This window comes from Homo sapiens, chromosome 14 (assembly GCF_000001405.40).
Source record: "Homo sapiens chromosome 14, GRCh38.p14 Primary Assembly".
Classification (NCBI taxonomy): domain Eukaryota; kingdom Metazoa; phylum Chordata; class Mammalia; order Primates; family Hominidae; genus Homo; species Homo sapiens.
Window position 1 is genome coordinate 95,329,091 of NC_000014.9, and position 11,164 is coordinate 95,340,254.

The 11,164-nt window shown below is 50.3% G+C and overlaps 2 long non-coding RNA genes across 2 annotated transcripts; one reads left to right on the top strand and one right to left on the bottom strand.

The window, feature by feature from the left end:
• Nucleotides 1–493: 493 nt before the first annotated feature.
• On the top strand, nucleotides 494–6,414 carry LINC02292 (long intergenic non-protein coding RNA 2292). Its single transcript, NR_110127.1, has 3 exons — nucleotides 494–578; nucleotides 3,555–3,694; nucleotides 4,939–6,414. It is a non-coding gene; the product is annotated as a long intergenic non-protein coding RNA 2292 (long non-coding RNA).
• Nucleotides 5,390–10,598, bottom strand: LOC124903371 (uncharacterized). The gene is made up of 2 exons (XR_007064319.1): nucleotides 10,504–10,598; nucleotides 5,390–10,003 (listed from the first exon to the last, which is right to left on the bottom strand). It is a non-coding gene; the product is annotated as an uncharacterized LOC124903371 (long non-coding RNA).
• Between the last annotated feature and the right edge of the window lie 566 nt (nucleotides 10,599–11,164).

Consider the following 11,164-nt stretch of genomic DNA (forward strand, 5'->3'; position numbering starts at 1 on the left):
ATTAATTAGCTCATGATTCTAAGGCTGGCAATTTGGGCAGTTCTTATGCTGCTGGGGAGGATAATGTGGACCAGTTTTGAGAAAGCAAGACACGAAGAAAGAGAATCCTGGTTCAGTGCCCATCTGGAAAGCTTCATTCATGCTGATCTGATTTAGTGCGTCGTTAAATTGTGTTTTATAAATGCATAAACACAGAATTGATAAGATTTGTTCTATAATCCCCGCTGAACACACATGTCAGTTACTGGGCTGGGAGCTGGGGACAGATTGATGGATAAGATTAATGCAGGAGGTGGGTATGGGTTCATTTGTTCCTTTTTTTATTCCTTTATTTGTTCATTCATTTCACCAGCCAACTTTAATGGAGGACCTAGCAAGTGCCAGGCAGCATTCTGAGCCCTGGAATCCGGTGATGAACATGACAGACAAGATTCCTGCCCCCAAGGAGCTGCACCTTAATAAGTCCCGCAATGAAGGAGACAGAACATAAACAGAGGAAAATACACAAGATGCCAGCTTGTGAGAAGTGCTAGCAAAAAAAGACACAAGTATGTCCAGAGAGTCTGAGGTGTATACAGGTATACAGAGTTCAATTCTTCTGGGGCAGATGGCAGGAAAACGTTCTAAAAATAAGTACCATGTTTTTAGTAGAAGCCATGTCAGAGGCTTGATGTGCATTTTTTCTAACTTGTACAACAAACCATGAGGTAAACAACATTTTCCTACTTTGTAGATGGGGAAACTGATGTTGAGAGAAGTTGAGTCACTTGTCCAAGGTCACACAGCAGGGTGAGGGTGGCCTCACACTGGTGTGTCCCAAAGGGCATCTGGTGTCCAGTGTTGTTCTCTTGGTAGAGGTGATGAGGCCTAATGAAGCCAAGAAAGATAAGTGGATGTTTTCCTGGTGGGCAATGGTCAAGGGAAGTGAAGGGAGCCCGGTGAGCAAAGCTGCTGTGTGTGAAACTGCCTGGTGTGGTCCAGGAGCTCAGTGTAGCCTGGGCCAAGCATATGAGCTGGGAGGGAAGGGTGGAGGGCCGGATCCAGAGGGAGAGTGGGTTCTTGGTTATGGAGCCACGGCAGGTGCGAGGCTGGGGAGGGACACTGGTAGGCTCCCGTTGAAACTCAGCCATCTAGAGCCCATTTTCCCGTAGGCCTCCAGCTCCTCAGCTGCAGGAAGGAGGCTGTATGGAGTTCAGAGCACAGGCTCTTCAATCGGACGGCACAGCCTGGATACGTGGTGGGCTTAGCAATTTGCTCTTGTGAGATACAATGCGATTTCTCAGTAAATTCTGCATCTCAGCTTTGGCTTCATCTGTGTCTGAGTCTCCATCTCATGCAGCTAGCTTATCATAGATCAGTACATTCACAGCATTTATTCGATCCTTTACAAAAACAACAGCCCGGGTTCAAATCCCAGCTCCACCACTTCCTCCCTGTGAGGCCCTGGGGAAGTAACATATCCACTCGGTACCTCTTGTAAAATGGAGGTGGCAGTGACTTTTATTTTTTATTTATTTATTTTTAGACAGAGTTTCACTCTGTCACTCAGGCTGGAGTGCAGTGGTATGATCTCAGCTCACTGCAACCTCCACCTCCCGAGTTCAAGTGATTCTCATGACTCAGCCTCCTGAGTAGCTGGGATCACAGGCATGTGCTACCACACCTGGCTAATTGTTTGTATTTTTAGTGGCAACGGGGTTTCGCCATGTTGGCTAGGCTGGTCTCGAACTCCTGTCCTTAAGCAATCTTCTTGCCTTGGCCTCCCAAAGTGCTGGGATTGCAGGCATGAGTCACCACGCCCAGATAGCAGTGATTTTTCAATGAAGTAATATACACGTGATGTGGAGAACTTTTCTGGCACAGAGTAGGCACGCAGCAGGGACCACGTGCTATCCTTGGGGGCATCTGACCAGTCCCTACAGGCCAGTGTCACTCCCAGGCAAGTGCAACTGTTTACTGAAGGCAGCATCGCTAGCGAAGGCAGGACCTGGAGAGGGCAGGATCCCCGGTGAAGTCAGGTCCTGAGTTTTCCAGTGAACTCAGTGCCTTCCATTCAGTGGGCGGCCGCTGGCCCAGATGGAGCCGGGGGTGGATTCTTGAGCTTGGTTCACCAAGAGAGGAGGGTACTGCACAATCTCGGGAGCCAACCACATTTTTTTTTTTTTTGTACAGCTCATTTCACCAATGAAAAGGCACTGGCAACATCTCCTATGCAGATTAGCCGCAGCCTCCGGTGCCGATTTAGCAAAGCCATGATTGACCAGATCCGAGGCTCGCTGCCCTGTGGAGCTGCTTCCTAATTATGTTACTTCAAGCACCCATCCCCAGGGTGCAGGTTAAAGTTAACCAGCACACTAATGTACATCAAGCAGTGTAGGCGGAGGCGCAGTTCTGAAGACAGTCACCAATACGCGGCAAATACCTATTGTGAGATCCATCACCTGCTGGATGGGCCTGCTCCCTCTACCACTCCCCTCCCACCTGCGCCTGGGTTGGGGAACTGGCCCCTTGCTAACTAGTCTAATCCCCTTCAGTTGGTCACAAGCCCTGTGGAGGTGGGAAGGAGACAGGACTGGGAAGGCAGTGAGGGAGGGCACGATGTGACTTCAGGGACAGCAGGAGCCTGAGTCTGGAGTTTGGGCTGCCCTAATTTGCTGTGTGACCTTGAAAGCCCCTTCCCCTTTTAAGAATGGGCTCATCTCTTTTCTAAAGAAGACATTCCATGGGAGAGGTGGTGCCATGGGAGTGTCACCTGGGAGGCTGCAGGCCTGCCCTAGGGCCCAGTCATTCTGGAGGAAGCCCTTGTGGGCTAGGAGACGGCAGGCTCCGCCTCTGACCTATTGGTTTCCCTCTGTCTGCCACTGTCCAGAGATCAGAATCCTGGGTCCTCTGGCACGGGCATCCACTCTCACCAAGACAGACAGGATGGAGCCTCTTCCTTAGGGCCTTGAGGCTTCACCACAGTCGTTGCAGTCTGGGGACTATTGAACCAGACTGACTCTGGTCCTGGAGGGTGACCGTGGACATCGACCCTCCCTGAACCTGAGTTCTCATCAATGGGATGGAAAGATCAATATGCCTGTCCTAGATTTCTCAAAGGGCCGGTGTGGTGCTCAGTTGAGAGGTGCATGTGCAGGACAGCGTGGGCAGCAATAGGTGGGGGTGTGGGGAGCTGCCTGAGCCGGGCAGATGCTCAGGAGGAAGGGGTAGAGGGGAAGCTGCTGGGAGTGGGGAGAGACACTTGAGATGCACGTGGAAGGAACCCAGGGCTGAGCCAGCAGAGGAAAGAGGGTGGGAGGGTAGCCAGGTGGGAGGGCAGGAGGAGCCAAGATATGGAGGCTGAAAGCAGCGCAGTGGGCTTGGGGGATGCACAGGGCACCCGCTGCCCAGAGAGGTTCCAGTTAGTCCTCCGCCTAAGAAGTGCCCCCATTGTTCCAGGACTCCTTCCCTCCTTTTCTCCTGCCCTCATTCCTCCCTTCCTGCCTCTTTTTCCCTCCGCCCTCCCTTTCTTCTTTTTCTTTTTTTCCTTCTCTTCTTCCTGCTTCCTTCACTAGTAGTTACTGGCACCCACTATGTACCAGCCACTGTGCTGGGCACGGATGGACACACATCAGCCCCTGCCCGCATGGTGGAACAGGGATATGGGAGAGAAAGACAACAAACAACTCGGTGTACAAATAGTCAACTACAGTGGGTAAGTGCCCTGGAGAGAAAGTTCAGGGAGTGGTGAGAATATCTAACAGGGAAACTGTTCTCTGTGTGGGGTGTGGGTGGGGCAGGGTGGTAGATTGTTTACAAAGACAAGGCCTCAGTAACTCTTCCCAGCCAAGGTAGAGTTTGTTTCTTCACCTCTTGATTCTGAGCTTGGCCATGACTTGCTCTGGCCAATGGACATTAGCAAACATGGCAGAGGCAGAGGCTTAAAAAGTGCTTGGGCATTCAGACTTTTGCCCTCTTTTGTGGCACTTGGAATTCTGAGACACTGATGGGAAGAGCCCAAGCTAGCCTACTTGAGAGGTCACACGGAGGAGAACCAAGGTGCCCCTAGCAACAGGATACTAACTGGCACACACATGAGGCCATCTTAGATTATCCAGCCCGGCCGATGCAGAGGCATGAGTCCATGTCTTCCTCCCTGACAGCATCAGTGAATCTTAGGGAAAGAACACTGGCAGAAGCTCTGCAGCCGAGAGAGTTGGGCCTCCACACAAATATCCAGCTTCTCTTTGTTTTCACAACTTGCAATGTGCATGCACTGAAGTTTGCTTGGTTGCTGAAATCACACACAGTCATGAAATCGCTTATTAGGGTATATCATGTCAGTGGAATTTGTGGTTAAGGGAGGGATGATCATTTTCCCAGAGGCTTTAGGTGGGCTTTAGTTCCAGAAAAATCTATAACCCCCGCTTCACCTGACCCACAGCCACAGCCCTGTACAAATGGACAGGTTCTGCTTGCCCTGGGATATCTTTGCTGAGAGGACCCCAGGCCCTGTGGAGTGATGGAGGTCAGCCACTCAGTAGCAAAGGCTGGCTGTCTCCCACACACCAGTGCCTGATTTGGGGAGGAAGGGAATGCAGACCTTCTGAGAAAGGGTGACCTTTGCAGCTAGGCCATGTGGCCAGACTTAGGTAACACCTCTCCATTAAAATTGATGTTCCTCCTAATCAGCAGTGATGGGGGGATTGTTTCTTAAATGCTGCTAAATGCAGTGCCAGGTCCCAGGGGAGAAGGCAGGGGTCTTGCTAGTTCTCCTCCGTGATGTTCTCCAGCCAGAAAGGGCTTCTGGCAGCCCCTACCTGTGAGAGGGGCTCATTTCCCAAGGTGGGTTGACAAGCATCTGGAAACTAAGAATTCTCTGCACATTGCCTGTAATTTCCCTTTGATTTTACATGTCCTCCAGCCCTCAGAACCATTATTATTTTTTTTTAAGAAAAGCAAAGATTAAATCCTCATACCTCTCTGGAAAAGTGGAGGGGACCACATTCCAGCATCTGGTGCCTTGTTTGCCCCAAACATGACTTCAAGTGAATCGACATAATACTCTTCCAGAGGGAAAGCAGAACCATCTGCAGGGCTGAGGGACCAAGAAACACAGTGAGGAATTCCACAGGAGGCCCACGCGGAGGGATGTGACACCCCAGGTGGACTCTAGGGGACGCTCACTTGGAACTTGCATCACCCGGAACTGTGTCTGCCACTGTGACTTCAGAGCAGCACAGACCTGAGGTGGATCCAGCAATGCCCACAACTGTCCAACAATTTCACTTTTCCGAGGCTCAGTTTCCATGTGGAAAATGGACTGGCTCTGAGTATTAAATGAGGATGAATGTCCATATGCCTCACCCCTTTCTTCATGAAAGGAAGACACCTCTGGGACTCAGACAAATGGCCAATAACATCTAGTCTTTATTCAGTCCTAACTGCATGACAATACAACTAGCGTAACAGTCATCAACATAAGGAATGCTCTCAATATTGCTCGATGCCCTGTGTGCTATCACTAATAGCAACAACTGCTGTTCATCTATGCCACGATATGCACCAAATCTACACCACTCCTTTAAGGTGTCACTGTCTCCATTCCACAGATGAGAAAACAGCCTCCAGAAGAGGAAAGTGTAGATGAGTTAATTTTTCCCTGCCCAACGTTGATTCCCATTCCTTCTGATCATGGTGCCCTGACTTCTTTGGGAGAACTCCCTCTTCTCTGTGACGGGCTGACTGGTGGGATTATCAGTCAAGGTGCCCACCTCCTCTAGCTCTCCCCATCTCTCTCAGTCTCTGGAGTTTCTGTTTCAAGCATAAGGACAGAAGATTAGAAATGGCTGAAGCTGATTTGCCCCAGGAGGAGGGTGGGGTCGTGTCCTGAGGAGACGCTCTTGTGGGACCCTGCTTCTTGGACTCCTTGGATCCCAGCCCCACCCCACCCCCAGACAGCCTTATTCTGCCTTCAGAGTCTGGTCCTTTGCTTTCCTTTAAATTCTGAGACCCTCTTGGGTCTGCCCTTTCCCATGTAGGTTACAGCCAGATTGGTTTCTGTTGCTTGCATCCCTCAAACTCTGCCTGACACAGGAAGTGACTCCTCCAGGTCATCCAGCCCATGAGTGGCATAGTCAGAGGAAGCCCTCCGTCACCAGGCTCTCAAGCCAGTGCTCTCTCCATCATGCCACATGGCTGGCCTTGGGGTGGTCCTGCCATAGGGAGAGCTTTCTGAGATGGGTCAGGGGGCAGATTATCATCAAAGACCTGGTGATGGAAAGACACATGGCATGGCCTCATGGTCATGGAGCCTGCATGGAGGCCAACATGCTGGAGGAGAGCTTTGAAGGCATCCACGGAAGCAGATGACAGGAGCCTGAAAGCCATGTGTGGCCACACACCTGCTTCTGACATAATTAATGAGACATCTATATTGTTCCTGTCAGTGAGCTTCTTTGCTACCCAAGCCCTTAGTTCATCATGTATTTTTTAAAGCAAAAATGGAGGCCTTCCTGAAACAGCCTCCCTCATTTTGCTTAATAATGCTGCAGTATTGACGTTCTATGAGGGTGAGGTGACACCATCTCAGGATGATGCACTAGACCCCCAGTGATTGATGGCTATACTTTTTTTTACTGACACTTTGAAAAGAAAGGGCCCCTCTCAGATTACTGAGCAAGTGGTTAGCCTTGGACCTTTCACTAATGGCAACCATAATTTCATGACTTATTTTACCGTGCCATCTTGTATGATTCTAGTTTGTATGATTTCCTCACTTTTCAGATGTGGAATCTGAGGCTCAGAGAGGCTAAGTAACTTGCTTAAGTTCACACAGCTCGTAAGCGAAGGAGACAGAGATAAGATCCCTGAGGTTATTGAAGTTATTGAAAGAATAGCTTGCTCCTTTGCCATGCCCTCCCCTCCTCCCTGGTACCTGCTGGAATTCTCATCTGCACCCTGGGTTGCTCTGGGAGTCACTGGCTGCCCTCTTCCTTGGGACCCACTCTTCTAGGTTGCTGCCAGGACAGGGCAGTAAGTGGGCTTCAAACACCAGCAAGGCCCTTCAGCTTGGCTCAGGGTCTTGCCTCCTGCCAAGGTGCCTTGCTTTGTTCTCATGCCCAAAGTGAGAGCTAACCTTGGCACACTGTTTACAGCTGTGCCTCTCTGGTCAGGATCGAGGAGTAGAGCGTTGATGCCCATGCCTACCATGGCACAGCTTCAGCTAACATGAGCCAGAGCCCATGAGCCCAAGGCTCTTGCCCCTTCTGGTCTCTAGAGGTCATGAGCCCACGACTCTTCCCCCTGCTGGTCTGTAGAGCTCATGAGCCCATGGCTCTTCTCTCCCCTGGACTCTGGAGCTTATAAGCCTATGGTTCTTCTCCCTGCTGGTCTCTGGAGCCCATGAGCTCACAGCCCTCCTCCCTCCTGGTCTCTGGAGCCCATGAGCCCATGACTCTTCTCCCTGCTGGTCTCTGGATCCTATGAGCCCACGGTCCTCCTCCCTGCTGGTCTCTGCTCTTCGCCCTGCTGGTCTCTAGAGCTCATGAGCCCATGGCCCTCCTCCCTGCTGGTCTCTGCTCTTCTCCCTTCTGGTCCCAGGAGCTCATGAGCCCATGGCTCTTCTCCCTGCTGGTCTCTAGAGTTCATGAGCCCACAGCCCTCCTCCCTGCTGGTCTCTGGAGCCCATGAGCCCATGGCTCTTCTCCCTGCTGGTCTGTGCTCTTCTCCCTTCTGCTGGAGCTCTTCTTCCCTGGACCTCATGAGCCCATGGCTTTTCTCCCTGCTGGGCTCTACAGCCCCCTTTCTCTCCCCACATATCTCTCCAGGACGCCTCTTCCTATTTGTCCAGAGAATATTCCAAGACTCGCCTTTGCCTGTCTCTGGGACAGCAATCCACAGAGAAGTCTGAGTCGTGGTAGGTGCAAACCCATGGAATTCTCTTTGCCCCCAACCCTGCTGTGGCCACTTTCACACCCTCTGTCAGAACGCGCCTCTCCAGCAGCGTAGGGCAGCCAGGCAGCCCTTAATGGTAATAGCTGTAACTACAGCCAATTTCCAATAATTGGCGGCCTTTGCCAGGGAATTCCTGCCTGTCCCAGCAGCTCCTTCTTGCTGCCTTTGATCTCTACCAGTCTCTGTGAGACACAAAATAATGTTGTCATCTTCAATTACTCCAAGGGACAGAGTGGCCTTGACCTCGCCACCAACGTCCCCAGCCCACATGGGGTAGTGGCAGCCATGAGGGAGGCTGGGCCGTGGACAAGGGGAGTCCCCAGGCCCATTCATGGGGTTGGTGCTTCTGGAAACCCCACTGCTACTATGTGTGAAGATGGGCCCCCCAGCTGAGGGTGTGGAGAGCATGCCGGCAGATACTAACAAGCACAGGCTGTACAGGTTGCCAGACGCCTCCTTTGTGCTAGGCACATGCCTTCTCTGATCCTCTAAGCAACTCCTTTGCCAGGATATATTATTATCTCCATTTTACGAAGGAGGAAACTCAGGCTCAGAGATAGTCACAGGCATGGCCAGTGGGTGGTGGGGGCAGTTCAGCCCTGGGTGCTGGGCTCAGGTTCAGAGCTTTTTCCATGTGGCACAGCTCCCCGGGTCTGTGAATGAGACGCACGCTCCACCTTCCCTACAGGCTCTTGAGTTCCTTGAGGACAGAAACTGGGTGTCCTTCGGATCCACCGCCTCCCAGGGCTGCTAGCACAGAGCTGGGTGTGGTGTAAATGCTCAGCCGACCCTTGTCAAGCCCAGGGGTCAGTTCCTTGGTCCTCTTCTTTTATCAGTTACACTTACTCCTTGGTTATCTCATCTAAGCTCGGAGCTTTATTTCCCCACCTATACACTGATAACTCCCACCTTTACATCTTCCCATAGCCAACTGCAGGTGTGATATCTAGCAGGTGTCTCAAATTCAACTCGTCCCAAACTGGCCTCCTTATTTTTTCTCCAAAACCAGCTCTTCCACAATTTTCCTGATCTTTGTATTTGGGTTCTCTAACTTTGCAGTTACTCTGGCTAAAAACCGTGGGGTCATTCTCATCTCCTTCATTTCTCAGGTATTTTACCTTCAATCCACAAGGACATCTTGTCAGTTTAACCTCAAAAAAAATCTATAATCCAACTAGTTCTTCCTGCCTTCACTGCCACCATCAGCTCTCACTGGCATCACTGCCATGGCTTCCTGACCTGTCTGCCTACATCCATCCCTGCTCCCCTGCATCCTGTTAACCACTAAGGTGATGATGCTTCTCTGCCCCAGCCCTCTTGTGGCCCCTCATCTCTCCCATGGGGAGATTCACTGAGGCCACTGACATAGTGCCTGTCATTCATGAAAGGGGACTGCTATGGTGAATGGAATGATAAAGGCCATAGCATGGTCATGGAAACACAGGGCAGAGGGGACTCATTCCAACCATTGGAAGGAGAGGGCTTCCAGAAGGAGGCATCATTGGTTCTAAGCTTTGAACCCTGAGTCTGTCTATTATGTTGTCTAGAGACATGCAGATAATAGTGCCTGTAACGCTGCACTCTGGCGAGGGTGTCCACCGAGGGCTGATTCCACCAGACAGTCTGTCCCAGCTCTCTCTGTGCTCCTGTGTGCCAGCACTGGGTAGGTTCTCAGGTTGCCCAGGGCCCAACATCCTCATTGCAGAAGCAGATATTCCAGCGGGCTCAACAGAAGCAACTATGCACACGAGAATGCTCCTTGAGAGTGGCATAAGGGCTGTTACTATTATTATTTATTTAATATAATATAACAATAAATTCCTTCACCTGCTTCTTTCTCATCCATTGGTGTGAGCTCAAAGGATGCAGATCTTTTTTTTTTCTTTTCTTTTCTTTTTTTTTTTTTTGGAGATGGAGTTTTTCTCTTCTTGCCCAAGCTGGAGTGCCATGGCGCTATCTTGGCTCACTGCAACCTCCGCCTCCCAGGTTCAAGCGATTCTCTTGCCTTAGCCTTCTGAGTAGCTGGGATTACAGGCACACGCCAGGACGTCCGGCTAATTTTTTGTATCTTTAGTAGAAAAAGGTTTCACCATGTTAGCTAGGCTGGTCTCGAACTCCTGACCTCAGGTGATCTGCCTGCCTTGGCCTCCCAAAGTTCTGGGATTATAGGCATGAGCCACAGCACCTGGCCAGATCATTTTTAATGTTAGCCAGAACTAAGGAAGGGCCCCGTTTCAACTGCAAAAAGTCCAGACCAGCAGAGTTGAGCTTCACTCCTCCTCCACTTTCTGGGATCTGGTCCCATGCGTGCTACATGGATGATCTCACTTCTTTTTCATGTAGTCCTGCAAGGTAGGTACTACTGTCACCACTTTACAGGCTGGGTGGTGAAGCCACCTGCTCACAGTGCCACCGCCAGTGAAGGGCAGAGCCAAGACAGGAATCAGGTCTGTCTGTCACCAAAGTGCCATGTTCTTAGCCACTATACTGCACTACAGCCTGGGAGACTTGCAGAGCCACGGGGAAGTCACACGTGGATCTTTCTTTCTAGGCTGATCCATGACCTACCTCTCAGTTCCTGGGCAGGTGAGTGCCGACCCGAAGTGCTTGCTCCGTGGGCTTGTCCTGCCTTGCACCCACTGCAATGCCTTCCAGGTTGAGGTGCGCTGGGCACACGCCCAGAGACCTTTGCACTGCCGTTTGAAAAGTTATTTAATGAGAAACTTTTTGTACTTCTCTTGTCCTCTTGCCAGAGGCTTCTGTATACATAACTCTGCAAACTGCTCTGCTATTTGCTCATAGAAGTCAAGTTGATTTTTAGTCTCTCTTCCTTCTATGTAGATCCCTCTAAATAGTTCTATGGCCATTTCCTTTTTTATAACTATATATCTTTATAACTATGTCTTCCTTTATTTATAGGTGTATGTAGGTGCTATTCTTTCTCCTTTATTTATAAGCATTTCAACAGAGGACCAGGATCTGAAGCCAAAAAGTGAGAATTATCTGGGTCTTTTAGTTTTTTTGTTTTTTAATATTTATGGGTACATAGTAGGTATATATATTTGTGTGGTACATAAGATATATGGATACGGAGAATTGCCTGTTTATTCATCGAAGACCTAGAAAATAATTCACAGAGAGCAGGTCAGGTTCAATGTGAAGCTTCCATAAAGTCAAATTCCTGCTGCAGAAAAATGTGGGGAGAATCAAAGTTCTGGCCCTGAGCCTC